The sequence below is a fragment of the Homo sapiens genome, chromosome 3 (genome assembly GCF_000001405.40).
Source record: "Homo sapiens chromosome 3, GRCh38.p14 Primary Assembly".
In the NCBI taxonomy this organism is placed as follows: Eukaryota; Metazoa; Chordata; class Mammalia; order Primates; family Hominidae; genus Homo; species Homo sapiens.
In genome coordinates, this window is record NC_000003.12 from 184,094,828 (window position 1) to 184,110,828 (window position 16,001).

At 45.6% G+C, this 16,001-nt stretch overlaps 1 protein-coding gene and 1 long non-coding RNA gene across 6 annotated transcripts; one reads left to right on the forward strand and one right to left on the reverse strand.

Moving 5' to 3' along the window:
* Positions 1 to 290: 290 nt before the first annotated feature.
* HTR3E-AS1 (HTR3E antisense RNA 1) lies at positions 291 to 10,351 on the reverse strand. The gene is made up of 3 exons (NR_133658.1): positions 10,299 to 10,351; positions 9,333 to 9,561; positions 291 to 523 (listed from the first exon to the last, which is right to left on the reverse strand). It is a non-coding gene; the product is annotated as an HTR3E antisense RNA 1 (long non-coding RNA).
* Positions 2,237 to 12,168, forward strand: HTR3E (5-hydroxytryptamine receptor 3E). 5 transcript variants are annotated; one of them, NM_001256613.2, is made up of 9 exons: positions 2,237 to 2,769; positions 5,658 to 5,824; positions 6,658 to 6,702; positions 9,355 to 9,464; positions 9,960 to 10,129; positions 10,440 to 10,600; positions 10,938 to 11,142; positions 11,301 to 11,516; positions 11,637 to 12,168. In NM_001256613.2, the coding sequence occupies exons 1-9, from the start codon at positions 2,703 to 2,705 to the stop codon at positions 11,864 to 11,866; spliced, it is 1,371 nt and encodes a 456-aa protein (NP_001243542.1). In that variant the 5' UTR covers positions 2,237 to 2,702; the 3' UTR covers positions 11,867 to 12,168. The 5 variants fall into 5 exon arrangements, with proteins under 5 accessions (NP_001243542.1, NP_938055.1, NP_872395.2 ...); NM_198313.3 differs by lacking the exon at positions 6,658 to 6,702; NM_182589.2 differs by lacking the exon at positions 2,237 to 2,769 and having other exon boundaries at positions 5,352 to 5,824.

The following is a 16,001-nucleotide window of genomic DNA, read 5'->3' on the forward strand; positions in this document are numbered from 1 at the left end:
GGTGGAGGTTGCAGTGAGCTGAGATCATGCCATTGCACTCAGCCTGAGCAACAAGAGTGAAACTCCGTCTCAAAAAAAAAAAAGAAGATTTAAGTGTAGACCTAAAACAATAAAACTCCTAAAAGAACACATAGGGAAAAAGCTTCAAAACATTGGAGTTAGCAGTGATTTCTTGGATATGACACAAAGGCATAGGCAACAAAAGAAAAAATAGACAAATAGTACTTCATGAAAATATTAAACATCTATGAATCAAAAGACACTATTAACAGAGGAAAGAAGACAACCCACAAAATGGGAGAAAACATTTGCAAATTATATAGCTGATAAGGGATTAATATCCAAACTATACATAGAATTCCTGAAACTCAACAACAAAAAACAACTTGATTTAAAAATGGGTAAAAGGTTAGCCATAGTGGTTCATACCTGTAAATTCCAGTGATTTGGGAGGCTGAGGCAGGAGGATTGCTTGAGGCCAGGAGTTCAACACCAGCCTGGGCAGCATAGCAAGGCCCTGTCTCTAGAAACAATAAAAAAAAATTAGCCACACATGGTGGCATGCACCTGTAGTCCCAGCTACTTGGGAGGCTGAGGTGGCAGGATTGCTTGAGCCCTGGAGTTCAAGGCTACAGTGAGCTATGATCATACCACTGTACTCCAGCCTGGGAGACAGTGAGACCCTGTCTCTAAAAAAAACAAAACAAAACAAAAAGCAAAACTCAGTGGACAGATTAGACACAGCTGAGGGCCGGGCACGGTGGCTCACGTCTGTAATCCCAGCATGGTGGCTCACAGTTGAGGGCCAGGCATGGTGGGAGACAGTGAAACCCTCTCTCTAAAAAACAAAAAAACAAAAAAACAAAACCAAAACTCAGTGGGCAGATTAGATGGACAGATTAGACACAGTTGAGGGTCAAGCACAGTGGCTCACTCCTGTAATCCCAGCACTTTGGAAGGCCGAGGTGGGCAGATCAGCTGAGGTGAGGAGTTCAAGACCAGCCTGGACAACATGGTGAAACCCTGTCTCTAATAAAAATACAAAAATTAGCTGGGTGTGGTGGCACAAGCCTGTAGTCCCAACTACTCAGGAGGCTGAGACAGGAGAATCGCTCAAATCAAGGAGGTGGAGGCTGTAGTGAGCCAAGATCACGCCACTGCACTCTAGCCTGGGCAACAGAATGAGACTCCATCTCAAAATAAAATAAAATATGGAAGGCATCCATACTTGCATTTTGCATTCTTCGTATGTAATCATATTGTCAAAGACAAATTATGTCATAATCTATTGTAAATAACACTTTTCCCCAGACCTACCATAAAGTTTCTGCAATGTATTGTCTTCCAGTTGCAATAAAAATTACTGAGTTTCATCAAAAATTAATTAATTAATTAATTAAAATAAACACAGTTGAGGAGAGAATTTTTTTCCTGGAAGCTAGATCTGAAGAAATCATTAGGGACAGAGATAAAGAGGTAGAAAATAGGAAAGAGAGGTGTGCTAGGCAGAATAACGGCCCCCAGAATTTGTCCACATCCTAATCTCTGGAACCTTAGGTTATATGGAAAAGGGGAGTTAAGGTTGCAGATGGAATTAAGGTTGTTAATTATCGGACTTTGAGATGGGGAGACTATCCTGGATTATCCAAATGGACACAATGCAATCACAAAGGCTCTTATAAGTGGAAGAAGGAGAGAGAAACAAATAAGAACCAGAGAGATGAGATGCCTTGTGAGAAACATTGGCCTGATGTTGCTGGTTTTGAAGATGGAGAAGTAAAAATAATGAACCAAGAAATACAGGCAGTTTAAAAGCTGGAAAAGGCCGGGTACAATGGCTCATGTCTATAATCCCAGCACTTTGGGAGATCAAGGTTGGAGGATCACTTGAGGCCAGGAGTTGGAGACAAGCCTAGGCAACAAAGCGAGACCTCATTTCTACTAAAAAAAAAAAAAATAGCCAAGCTTGGTGGCTCACACCTGTGAGGTCCCAGCTACTTGGGAGGCTGAGACGGAAAGATCCCTTGAGCCCAGGAGGTCAAGGCTGCAGTGAGTCGCGATTGCGCCACTGCACTCCAGCCTGGTCAACAGAGTGAAACCCTGTCTCAAAAAAAAAAAAATCTGGAAAAGGCAAGGAAATGGATTCTCCTCTAGAGCCTCCAGAGGGAATGCGGTCCTGCTGACACATTCATTTTAGCCCAGTGAGACCCATTTCAAACTTCTGGCCCACAGAACAGTAAAATAACAAATTGTGTTTATTTAAGCCACTGGGTTTGTGATTTGTTACAACAGCAATAAAAGGCATGTAAGATAGAAGGAAACCATTCAACACATGTCTAATAAGAAAAATAGAGGAAGTGAAACATTTATAAATGTCTGAGAATTTTCCAAAATTGAAGAGATGAGTCTTCAGACCAAGGGATCTCACCAAGATCTGCAAGTTGATCACGTATGAACTATCTATAACCATTTACGTTGCAGTGAAATACCTAAGACTAAGATAAAGTCTTAAAAGCAGACTGAACCTTAAGCATAGGCAAGAACAAGACAACCAGAACACTCTTTGAAGGAAGGTTACAAATGTCAGTGGTCAACCAATGCTATTAGTATTCAAAGTCAGACTCTAGGTGTGGCCTGTGCTGCTTTAATCTGGGCATTCCTGGGTCCCAGTACATGTTCAGAGAAGAACTTAGACAAAGAAGATGGAAGGAAGCTGGTTCCACAGGAAAAGATTTTCCTTCTACCTCCTTCTCGGTTTTCTGCTTCAAGGTAAGAAAGGAGCAATGATGGGGGAAGGCGGAAGAAGGAGGACCTCTCTCTAGTAGAACATCTAGGAACTTTTTTCAAATTTCCAACTCCTAGAGATTGTCTAAGATGGATAGAGTTCTTTCATAGCTACATTACTAAGATGCCCACATAGACTTTCCTTTTCTGAAAGACGGAAAATCCCCTTCCAGTTACATGCCAAACAAGAGCACTTTCATTTTCCTTCTCGAAAAATAGAGTTCAACACCAGCAAACTTTATCCTTTCACATATGGATATCCAGTTTTCCCAATACTACTTGAAAAGTCTGTCTTTTCTCCATTGGTACCCTACATGGAAGACAACCATCCACGATCGTCTTCTCTTGTATTTAGCTTCTATATCCATCCATCTTTCTATCCACAGGTGTAATTCTTTCTCTCTACAGGTATGAAACCCAAACCATTGTAGCAAAGTGCCCACCTCCTTTAGCCATAATTTCCCTGTCCATCTGCTGGATCCAAGGGCTCTAGGTTAGGTAAGGTGCCAGAAGGCAGCAGGTCAAGGGTGAAAGTAGAATGTGCTTCTCTTCCAGGGGGTCAGCATGGTAGAGAGACAAGAACATGGGATTTGGAGACAGGTGGACCTGGGTTTGAATCTTGGTGTCTCACGTTGCTAGTTTTATAAACTTGGATGCACTGCTTAACTTATCTGAGCTCTGGTTTCCTCATCTGTAAAACAGAACCTACCTTGCAGGGTTGTGAGGATTCAGTAAGAGAAGGAGGGAAGCACAGTGTCTGGCACTTGGTAAAAGTGCCAATAACTGTCATCTCTCCTCGTTAGATTATTCCATGACTTTGGATAAGGAGGCACAGGAGAGGACTGAACCAGAGGTGACTTTAAAGGCCAGCACAGGGAAGAGACACAAATTGTACACCTGGTCTAGGCAGTGTAAATGGTTATGAAAGCTCCTCTGGGCACTTGCACACAGGGGTTGACAAATGAATATTCACTGTTCTTAGAGTGGTTTAAGAATTTGCTGGAAAGCACTGTGACGTTGGGAATGGATAAGGCTCAATGTCCTTGGCACAGAGGTTATCAACCATCTCTCTCAGTCCAAGTTGTTGCTCCTCCAACACATTTTCATGACTAGAAAATTTAAAAATTTATTAGTTAGAAGAGGGTGGGACGGGTCAGGTGAGGTGGCTCACACCTGTAATCCCAGCACTTGGGACGCTGAGGCAGGCGGATCACCTGAGGTCAAGAGTTCAAGACCAGCCTGGCTAACATGGTGAAACCCCATCTCTACTAAAAATACAAAAACTAGCCTGATGTGGTGGTAGTGCCTGTAATCCCAGTTACTTGGGAGGCTGAGGCAGAAGAATCGGTTGAACCTGGGAGCCAGAGATTGCAGTGAGTCAAGATCGCACCACTGCACTCCAGCCTGGGTGACAGAGTGAGACTCCCTCTAAAAAAAATTTAAAAATTTAAAAAAGAAATTAAAAAAAAATCCCACCCACACTTCTAAAAATAGCTATGTGGCTAGGAATGGTGGCTCACACCTATAATTCCAGAACTTTGGGAGGCCCAGGTGGGAGAATCACTTGAGCCCCGGGGTTTGAGACCAGCCTGGGCAATATAGTGAGATCCCCGTCTCTACAAAAATTTTTTAAAAAAATTAGCCAAGTGTGGTGGGGAACGCCTGTAGTCACAGTTACTTGGGAGGCTGAGGTGGGAAGATCCCCTAAGCCCAGAGGCTGAGGCCAAGTGATTGCGCCACTGCACTCCAGCCTGGGCAGTAGAGTGAGTCGCTGTCTCAAAAAACCCCCAAAAACCCCAAACTAAGAAATATGCACAATTAGGCCGGGCACGGTGGCTCACGCCTGTAATCCCAGCACTTTGGGAGGCCGAGGCGGGTGGATCATGAAGTCAGGAGATTGAGACCATCCTGGCTAACAAGGTGAAACCCCGTCTCTACTAAAAATACAAAAAATTAGCCGGGCGCGGTGGCGGGCGCCTGTAGTCCCAGCTACTCGGGAGGCTGAGGCAGGAGAATGGCGTGAACCCGGGAAGCGGAGCTTGCAGTGAGCCGAGATTGCGCCACTGCAGTCCGCAGTCCGGCCTGGGCGACAGAGCGAGACTCCGTCTCAAAAAAAAAAAAAAAAAAAAGAAAGAAATATGCACAATTATTATATGTCCATTAAAAATAAAATAAAACTTTTTTAAAGCCTCAAACTAGAACGCTGGTGATAGAGTTGGGTAAAGTCAAGTAAGAAGGAAGGTTGGGGCAGTCGGGGTGAAAACAGGTGTGTTCTCTCCGGGGCCCCGGGACTGTAATCCTATCGGATGACTATCAACATTCCAGGCACAGTTTGCATATAGATTTGGGCATGCTTTGCATGGAGACAGAAATATTAGAAAGGAGGCTGGAGCTCTAGCTCAGCTTTGCTACATTAGCTTCCAGAATTTGCATTCCAGCTCACCCCATCCTCCCGGGCCTCGGAAGGAAGAGCCCAGCGTCTGGACCCCTCTCGGTGATCCCCTCCCCATTCTTCATCTCATCCCTGGGGACGTATAGCACAGCAGCAGCAGACAAACCTGGGTTCAGAACAAGTCCGGCTTCTGCCTTTTATTGGCTGTCTGACTGTAGGAAGTTACTTCCTCTTATTGCACCTTAGTTAGCTCGTTTATTACATGAGGGTAAAGCAGTATCTACCTGATAGGGGATTGGGAGGATTAAATGAGGTAATCCATTTTTAAAGGGCTTAGAATATACCTGACACACAGCCAGTGCTCAACAAATGTTAGCTTTCATTTTATCACGGGCGACCCCACGCCCTGCCTTGGGGCCCCTCTCATATAGGGAGCACAGGGTTGCTCTCCTTCATCTCACACATTCGATGTCCACTACAGGAAGGGGCGTTACTTTCACCATCAATTGCTCAGGGTTTGGCCAGCACGGGGCGGATCCCACTGCTCTGAATTCAGTGTTTAATAGAAAGCCCTTCCGTCCGGTCACCAACATCAGCGTCCCCACCCAAGTCAACATCTCCTTCGCGATGTCTGCCATCCTAGATGTGGTGAGTGCTGACCTCTCTAGCCCTCCTTGGTGTCCTTAACCTTTTTCCAGCCCCTGGCAAAGTGGCCCCCCAAAGCCCTTATCCACATTTCTGCTTCCTCCACCACTGCTGGATGGCATTTGCCTGGCATGGGGATCTCAAAGAAGCTCTGTCCAGGGCAGCAGGGTGAGGTATAACAGCACATGGAAGAGAATCTTTTCTTCTCTCTCTGGCTGTATACCAGTGACCAGGTTCTAATCTCAGAGGTTTTGATTGGATGAAACCCAAGCCTCGTTTTTGTTTTGTTTTTGTTTTTGTTTTTGTATTTTTTGAGATGGAGTCTCACTCTGTTGCCCAGGCTGGAGTGCAATGGCACGGTCTTGGCTCACTGCAACCTCCACCTCCTGGGCTCAAGCGATTCTCCTGCCTCAGCCTCCCAAGTAGCTGGGATTTCAGGCATGCGTCACAACACCTGGCTAATTTTTGTACTTTTAGTAGAGACGGAGTTTCACCATGTTGGCCAAGCTGGTCTCAAACTCCTGACCTCAAGTGATCTGCCTGTCTCGGCCTCCCAGGCATTACAGGCATGAGCCACCGCGCCCGGCCACATCGATATTTTTAAGCTTCTCGAGTTATTCTCATATACAGCGAGGGTTGAGAAGGACTACTTTACTCCCGCCCTGCTGTGAACTCTCCTGTCCGTAGCCTAACACATGGGTTTGGATAGAGCTTTTGTTCTGGATCACATATCCCCTTTATATACCTTGGGAGTTGGTAAACAAGCATGGGAAGTGGGGGAGATGGAACAGACTTCTTACTGGCAACATGATGGAAATAGGAAATTCTTTTGGCAGAATGAACAGCTGCACCTCTTGTCATCATTCCTGTGGCTGGAAATGGTATGGACAACACTTTATTCTCTCCCTACAGTTACAGTCAAAAAGGATTTTAAACGAAGATATAATAATTATGAATTTTTATGTCCCTAACATTGGTTTGAAACACATGAAGGAGAAATTGAAAAATCGACCATAATGGTGAGGGGCTTTAATACACTGCTTTCAAAATCAAGGAGAGGCTGGGCACGGGTGGCTCACGCCTGTAATCCCAATACTTTGGGAGGCCGAGGTGGGCAGATCACTTGAGATCAGGGGTTTGAGACCAACCTGGCCAACATGGTGAAACCCCATCTCTACTGAAAATACAAAAATTAGCTGGGCATGGTGGCGGGCGCCTGTAATCCCAGCTACTTGGAAGGCTGAAGCAGGAAAATCACTTGAACCTGGGAAGCAGAGGTTGCAGTGAGCCGAGATTGCGCCACTGCGCTCCAGGCTGAGCAACAGAGTGAGACTCTATCTCAAAAACAAAACAAAACAAAACAAAAATCTAGTAGAAAAGGAGTAAATATATAGTGATTTTCACAGCACAATTAAGAAGCTTAGTCTAATAAACATGTCAAACTTTGTATCAATGACCATACATAATTTTTTGTCACACACATAGAGTATTCTCAAAAACTGACCACATTTTTAACCACAAAAAGGTATGAACGCCAGGCAGAGTGGCGCATGCCTGTAATCCCAGCACTTTGGGAGGCCAAGGTGGGTGGATTGCTTGAGCCCAGGAGTTTGAGGCCAGCCTGGGCAACACGGCAAAACCTCGTCTCTACAAAAAAATACAAAAATTAGCTTGGTATGGTGTTTCACGTCTGTAGTCCCAGCTACTGGGGAGCCTGAGATGGGAGGATCACTTGAGCCTGGGAGGTCAAGGCTGCAGTCAGCCATAATTGTGCCACTGCACTGTAGCCTGGGCAACAGAGTGAGACCCTATCACACACCGGGGCCTGTTGTGGGGTGGGGGGAGGGGGGAGGGATGGCATTAGGAGATATACCTAATGTTAAATGATGAGTTAATGGGTGCAGCACACCAATATGGCACATGTATACATATGTAACTAACCTGCATGTTGTGCACATGTACCCTAAAACTTAAAGTATATAAAAAAAAAAAAAAGCTGGGCACAGTGGCTCACACCTGTAATCCCAGCACTTTGGGAGGCCGAGGCCGGTGGATCGCCTGAACTCAGGAGTTCAAGACCACCCTGGGCAACATGGTGAAACACCGTCTCTACTAAAATACAAAAAATTAGCCAGGCATGGTGACATGTGCCAGTAGTCCCAGCTACTCGGGAGGCTGAGGCACAAGAATCGCTTGAGCCAGGGAGACAGAGGTTGCAGTTGGCCGAGATCACACCACTGCACTCCAGCTTAGGCTACAGAGTGAGACTGCATCTCAAAAAAAAAAAAGAAAAGAAAACCTTGTTTCTTGGGAATTTAAAATTAAACTTCTAAATATTTGAGGCAAAGGAGAAAATAAAGCAATTAAGTAGAAATTACGAAGTAATTAGAAATGAAAATTATACATATGAAAATCTATGGAATGTAGTCAAAGCATAACCCAGTGGAAAATTTATATCTTAATTGCATTGATAAGAAAACAAGGTGTGTGGGAGGATGGGGGGAAATAAAAGCAAATGAATTGAGTTTCCAACTTGAAAAGCCTGCTTGATGGCTGGGCTTGGTGGTTCACACCTATAATCCCAGCTCTTTGGGAGGCCTAGGCAGGTGGATCACTTGAGGTCAGGAGTTCGAGACCAGCCTGGCCAACATGATGAAACTCCATCTCTACCAAAAATATAAAAAAATCAGCCGGGTGGTGGCCGGGCGCGGTGGCTCACGCCTGTAATCCCAGCACTTTGGAAGGCCGAGGCGGGTGGATCATGAGGTCAGGAGATCAAGACCATCCTGGCTAACACGGTGAAACCCCGTCTCTACTAAAAATACAAAAAATTAGCCAGGCGTGGTGGCAGGCGCCTGTAGTCCCAGCTACTCGGGAGGCTGAGGCAGGAGAATGGCCTGAACCCAGGAGGCAGAGGTTGCAGTGAGCCAAGATCGCGCCACTGCACTCCAGCCCAGGCAACAGTGCAAGACTCCATCTCAAAAAAAAAAAAAAAAAAAAATTAGCCAGATGGTGGCACACACCTGTAATCCCAGCTACTCAGGAGGCTGAGGCAGGAGAATCGCTTGAACCCGAGAGGTGGAGGTTGCAGTGAGCCGAGATCACGCCACTGCACTCCAGCCTGGGTGACAGAGCAAGACTCCATCTCAGAAAAAAAAAAGAAAGAAAAAGAAAAGAAAAAAGAAAAAAAGAAAAGCCTGCTTGGAGGAAAGGAAGGAAGGAGCTGGAGAAAGATAATACAATCATCTAACCTCACTCTCAAAGTGTGGTTCCCAGACCACCAGCGCTGGCTGATCAAAATTTATGAAGAATGGTCCCAGGCAGGTTCGATTTTATCTATAATTCTCATTTCTTGAAAAAAAAGCAAGTAAATTTAATAAAATATTAATGCCACAAAGTTGGGTTGTAAATACATAGATGTTTGTCACAGCATTTTATATATTTTTCTATATGCTTGAAGTATTTCATAACTTTTTTTTTTAAAGAAGAAATTAAAAGGCAGGAGACTCACCTCTCCTCCACCTGGGCTCTAGGTTTGGGATAACCCATTTATCAGCTGGAACCCAGAGGAATGTGAGGGCATCACGAAGATGAGTATGGCAGCCAAGAACCTGTGGCTCCCAGACATTTTCATCATTGAACTGTGCGTATCAAGGGCTGGTCAGAGGGAAGTCCCATCTCCTGGTAGCCACAGAGATCACAGTTTACCATTGGGGCCACTGTAAGTGGTCTTTAGATGGCTAAGAAACAACCAGAGAGATAAGAAGAGAAACTGAGCCAGGCGCAGTGGCTAATGCCTGTAATCCCAGCACTTTGGGAGGCCAAGGTGGGTGGATCACTTCAGTTCAGGAGTTTGAGACCAGCCTGGGCAACATGGTGAAACCTCATCTCTTAAAAAAAAAAAAAAAAAAAAAATTAGCCAGGCCTGGTGGTGCGCCTGTAGTCCCAGCTACTTGGGAGGCTGAGGCTGAGACAGGAGGATCATTTGAGCCCAGGACATGGAAGTTGCAGTGAGCTGAGAGCATGCCACTCTACTCCAGCCTGGGTGACAGAGCAAGATCCTGTCTCAAAAAAAAAAAAAAAAAAAAAAGAGAGAGAGAAACTGCAGCACCTGCCTCTTGCGTTATCTCTCCTCCAGCATGGATGTGGATAAGACCCCAAAAGGCCTCACAGCATATGTAAGTAATGAAGGTCGCATCAGGTATAAGAAACCCATGAAGGTGGACAGTATCTGTAACCTGGACATCTTCTACTTCCCCTTCGACCAGCAGAACTGCACACTCACCTTCAGCTCATTCCTCTACACAGGTAAGTTGCAGTGAGGTCTCAGGGATGGGGTGAATGAGAGCAACCAACAAATATAAAGAAACTATGAGTAAATGGTGACCAAGGAGTATGGGTGGGGAGAAGAATAAGGCTCTATGGATGCTAAAATATTTTCCATAAAGGCAGAACCCAAGTCTGTCTTGTTCCTTACCATCCCAAGCTCCTGGCAAGTTTCCTGGCATGTGGGAGGCACTCAAAAATATTTGTTGAAAGAAAGGATGGAAAAAGAGTGCAGTTGAGCCACCAGGAAACTATCTCCTTGAAAAATGATTCAGATGGTTCTCATTTTCAGTGGACAGCATGTTGCTGGACATGGAGAAAGAAGTGTGGGAAATAACAGACGCATCCCGGAACATCCTTCAGACCCATGGAGAATGGGAGCTCCTGGGCCTCAGCAAGGCCACCGCAAAGTTGTCCAGGGGAGGCAACCTGTATGATCAGATCGTGTTCTATGTGAGCTTGGAGGCTCTTACTCTTTCCTTCCTCCCGCACTTTTACCCTTGCCTAGAATGTCCATCAAATATGTATCTCCCAAGTTTCAGGGTCTCCCAATGTTACCCTCTCTCCTGGCTTCCCAGCCTCATTCTTCATCCTAAAGCTCAGGGCTCTGGCCTAACTGTCTCTTTGCAGGTTCTATACCAGATTCTAAAGCTGCATTCCCCACAGCTCCAGATCCCAGGGTGATATCAGGCCAAAGAAAAAGGCAGAGACAGAAATTGTCACTGCTATTCCTGGATTTGAGGGTTCCTCTGACCCCATAACTACTTACCACCCTCTCCTACCCCACCAGGTGGCCATCAGGCGCAGGCCCAGTCTCTATGTCATAAACCTTCTCGTGCCCAGTGGCTTTCTGGTTGCCATCGATGCCCTCAGCTTCTACCTGCCAGTGAAAAGTGGGAATCGTGTCCCATTCAAGATAACGCTCCTGCTGGGCTACAACGTCTTCCTGCTCATGATGAGTGACTTGCTCCCCACCAGTGGCACCCCCCTCATCGGTATGGCTCCTCCCACCTTTTGGAAGAGAAGGGTGGGAACTAACTCAGGAAGGGAGGTATTTTGGAAAAAGGAGGCCGTATGCCTGCCAGGGTGGGATTGGAAGAGAAGAAATTCTAGGTGGTGCCTCTGGCCCTCACTAGGCCCCCCTTCCCTCCAGGTGTCTACTTCGCCCTGTGCCTGTCCCTGATGGTGGGCAGCCTGCTGGAGACCATCTTCATCACCCACCTGCTGCACGTGGCCACCACCCAGCCCCCACCCCTGCCTCGGTGGCTCCACTCCCTGCTGCTCCACTGCAACAGCCCGGGGAGATGCTGTCCCACTGCGCCCCAGAAGGAAAATAAGGGCCCGGGTCTCACCCCCACCCACCTGCCCGGTGAGGGAAGTCACATTCCTCTTCCCCCACCTCCACTTCTCTGCTCCTGCCTCCTTCCCTGTCTCCCTCCCTCCACAGGTGACATTTGCAGCCCATGGCTGAGTCTCTGTCTTTCTGTAGGTGTGAAGGAGCCAGAGGTATCAGCAGGGCAGATGCCGGGCCCTGCGGAGGCAGAGCTGACAGGGGGCTCAGAATGGACAAGGGCCCAGCGGGAACACGAGGCCCAGAAGCAGCACTCAGTGGAGCTGTGGTTGCAGTTCAGCCACGCGATGGACGCCATGCTCTTCCGCCTCTACCTGCTCTTCATGGCCTCCTCTATCATCACCGTCATATGCCTCTGGAACACCTAGGCAGGTGCTCACCTGCCAACTTCAGTCTGGAGCTTCTCTTGCCTCCAGGGACTGGCCAGGTCTCCCCCCTTTCCTGAGTACCAACTATCATATCCCCAAAGATGACTGAGTCTCTGCTGTATTCCATGTATCCCAATCCGGTCCTGCTGATCAATTCCAATCCCAGACATTTCTCCCTGTTCCTGCATTTTGTTGGCTTCCTTCAGTCCTACCATATGGTTCTAGGTCCCTCTTACGTCATCTGCATAGCAGACTATACCTCTTCTGTCCGCTGACTTGCCCAATAAATAATTCTGCAGAGATTTCTGGCTCTTTGTCAGGTCGTAGGGTAGAAACTTAACTAACCACCCGGGTGCAGTGGTTCACGCCTATAATCCCAGCACTTTGGGAGGCCAAGGCAGGTGGATCACCTGAGGTCAGGCATTAGAGACCAGCCTGGCCAACATGGAGAAACCTCATCTCTACAAAAAGTACAAAAAATTAGCCGGGTGTGGTGGTGGGTGCCTGTAATCCCAGCTACTCCAGAGGCTGAAGCAGGAAAATTGCTTGAACCTAGGAGGCGGAGGTTACAGTGAGCCAAGATCGTGCCACTGCACTCCAGCCTAGGCAACAAGAGCAAAACTCCGTCTCAAAATAAATAAATAAATAAATAAATATTAATTAATTATCCAGGTGTGGTGGTGCACACCTGTAATCCCAGCTACTTGGGAGGCTAAGGCAGGAGAATCGCTTGAACCCGGGAAGTGGAGGTTGCAGTGAGTGGAGATCGCGCCACTACACCCCAGCCTGGGTGACAAGAGTGAAACTTAGTCTCAAAAAAAGTAAAAATAAAAATAAATAAATAAATACAAGAAACTTGGCTGGGCAGCAGTGGCGCATGCCTGTAATCTCAGCACTTTGGGAGGCCGAGGCGGGTGGATCACTTGAGGTCAGGAGCTGGGGACCAGCCTGGCCAACATGGTGAAACCTTGTTTCTACCAAAAATACAAAAATTAGTCAGAGATGGTGGCGCATGCCTGTAATCCCAGCTACACAGGAGGCTGAGGCAGGAGAATCACTTGAGCCCGAGAGGCGGAGGTTCCAGTGAGCCAAGATCCTGCCACTACACTTCAGCCTGGGTGACAGAGTGAGACTCTGTGAAAAGAAAGAAAGAGGCTGGGCGTGATATCTCACACCTGTAATCCCAGCACTTTGGGAGGCCAAGGTAGGTGGATCACCTGAGGTCAGGAGTTGGAGACCAGCCTGACCAACATGGAGAAACCACATCTCTACTAAAAATACAAAATTAGCTGGGTGTGGTGGTGTGTGCTTGTAATCCCAGCTACTCAGGAGGCTGAGGCAGGAGAATCCCTTGAACCCGGGAGGCAGAGGTTGCAGTGAGCCGAGATAGTGCCATTGCACTCCAGCCTGGGCAACAAGAATGAAACTCCATTAAAAAAAAAAAAGAAAGAAAAGAAAAAAGAAAGAAAACTAACCAGAACTGATAGTTTTAAAACATAACCTGTACATTTCTTTGACTCTTTGATTGTGATAAAGCTTCCATGTCATCAGGAACGATCCTCTCTCCCAAGACTGAAGTGACAACTGTTGGGTTTGAGAAGTTTTAATTCTCTTAGGTGTTTTCAGAAATATTTTCTTACTAGTAGATTCTTTTATCTTTTCCATTATCTTGTACTGATCTCATTTTAGCACTCTCCTAATTTATTATGTTTCATGTTATTCTTTTTCTGGTTTTCCAAGTTGAATTCTCCATTAAAGTGTTCTCAGTCTTTCTATTGATTTTACTCTGAACAGCTTAAGCTGTATCCCATAGGTTTTAGAATAAGGTGATCTCCTCTTCATTACTTTGTAGACAATTCATAATTTGTTTTAATTCTCTCTGATATAAAGGCTATTTGGGGCCAGATGCAATGGCTTATGCCTATAATCCCAATAGCTTGGGAGGCTGAGGTGGGAGGATTGTGTGAGCTCAGGAGTTCAAGACCAGCCTGGGCAACATAGCGAGACCCCATCTCTACGAAAAAAAAAAAATTAGCCAGGCATGTATGGCACACATCTGCAGTCCCACTGTGCAGGAGGCTGCAGTGGGAGGATTGCTTGAGTCCAGGAGATCAAGGCTACAGTGAGTTCTGATTGTTGCACTGCACTCCAGCCTAAGCGACAAAGCAAGGCCCTGTCTCAAAAAAAATAAAAATAGAAATAAAGGCTATTTGGGAGAATGTGTCTTCATATCTATGGATAAGGGATTTTTGTTATTGTTATCCTTTCATTGTTAATTTCTAGTTTCTTGGTTTATGATCAGAGAGCATGGTGTATAAATTTAAACCTTTTTGGATTTATAAAGCTTTCTTGGCCAGGCGCAGTGGCTCATGCCTGTAATCCCAGCACTTTGGGAGGCCAAGGCGGGTGGATCACGAGATCAGGAGTTCGAGATCAGCCAGGCCAATACGGTGAAACCCCGTCTCTACTAAAAATACAAAAATTAGCTGGGCGTGGTGGCGCATGCCTGTAGTCCCAGCTACTCAGGAGGCTGAGGCAGAAGAATCACTTGAACCCAGGAGGTGGAGGTTGCAGTCAGCCAAGATCACACCACTGTACTCCAGCCTGGAAGACAGAGGGAGACTCTGTCCCAAAAAAAAAAAAAAAAAAGCTTTTTCTCTGGCTGAATGCATGATTGGTTCTGTAACAAGCTTTGTTTCAGGACATTTAAAAAGTATATATTTGTGTTCTTAGGTGTTCTTTTTTTTAAAAAAAGTATATATTCTCTCTATATGCATCTACTAAATAGAGCTTATTTATTACATTATTCAAATCCTCTATATCATAGCTTATTTTTGTCTGTGTGGTCTGTTAAAGTTCAAAAGTATTTTATCCATGTTCTCTGGGTACTTGTAGTTTTCCTTTTATATGCTTGACAGCTATGTGATTTGATGCATAAAAATGTATGGTTATTATATCTTCTTGAATTGTGCCTGATTTTATCCTCATATATTGTCACTATTTGTTCTGTTCAATGTGTTTTGAACATGATTTCCATTTGTAGGATAGTGTTGCAAATCTTGCTTTTGCCTAGTATATTTTCGCACATCTCTTTCATTAATTCTTGATTCATTTTTGGAAGAGTAATATACATACAAGGTACAAATATCAAAAGGTACAGTATGGTCTGGGCACAGCGTTTCATGCCTGTATAAAAATAAAAATAATAGACCAGCCTGGCCAATATGGTGAAACTCCATCTGTACTAAAAATACAAAAGCTAGCGGGGCATGGTGGCACATACCTGTGGTCCCAGCTACTTGGGAGGCTGAGGCAGGAGAATCACTTGAACCCAGGAGGCAGAGGTTGCAGTGAGCCAAGATTGTGCCACTGCACTCCAGCCTGGGCAATAGAGGGAGACTCCGTCTCAAAAATAAATAAATAAACAAAAATTTTAAAAAAATTAAAATTAAAAAATAAATAAAATAAAATAAAATAAAATAAAAACGATAACAGCCCTTTCCCAAAACAAACCTCCTTCTTGCCTGGGGACTAGACTGCCTTTATAGGACTAACGAACTAGCCACAAGATTAGAAATTATGGTTTAGGAGTCATGCAGGTGGAGGCTACAAAATTCTGACCCTCCCTAAACTGCTCCTAAGATCAGTGCTTAAGGTATTTTGCAGACCCTGCACTTAATGAATCAGCTGGCCACCAAGATCGATAAACTGACTCATCTGATCTTGTGGCCCCGACCCAGGAACTGACTCAGCACAAGAGGACAGCTTCAACTTCACATGATTTCATCTCTGATCTGACCAATCGGCACTCCTGGCTCACTGGCTTCCCCCAACCCACCAAGTTGTCCTTAAAAACTCTGATCCCCGAATGCTCAGGGAGGCTGATAAAATTCCAGTGTCCCGCACAGCAGGCTCTGCATGAATTACTCTTCCTCTATTGCAATTTCCCTGTCTTGATGAGTTGGCTCTGTCTAGGCAGCAGGCAAGGTGACCCCATTGGCGATTACAGACGCTTGAATTTCACTAGGTTATGTCAAATGTGTGTTTTCACTAATCCTTTCTGTGTCTCAGTGACCTTTTTCAATGTGAATATTTAAATCTTTCTTCTGTTTGGGGAATTTTTTCTAGGATATAA

Coding starts and splice junctions, on each gene's coding strand:
- HTR3E (NM_001256614.1), top strand. CDS start 5,546: ATGTTAGCTTTCATTTTATCACGGGCGACCCCACGCCCTGCCTTGGGG. Junction 9,543..9,959: donor AGTTTACCATTGGGGCCACT/GTAAGTGGTCTT, acceptor TCTCTCCTCCAG/CATGGATGTGGATAAGACCC. Junction 11,143..11,300: donor CAGTGGCACCCCCCTCATCG/GTATGGCTCCTC, acceptor CCTTCCCTCCAG/GTGTCTACTTCGCCCTGTGC.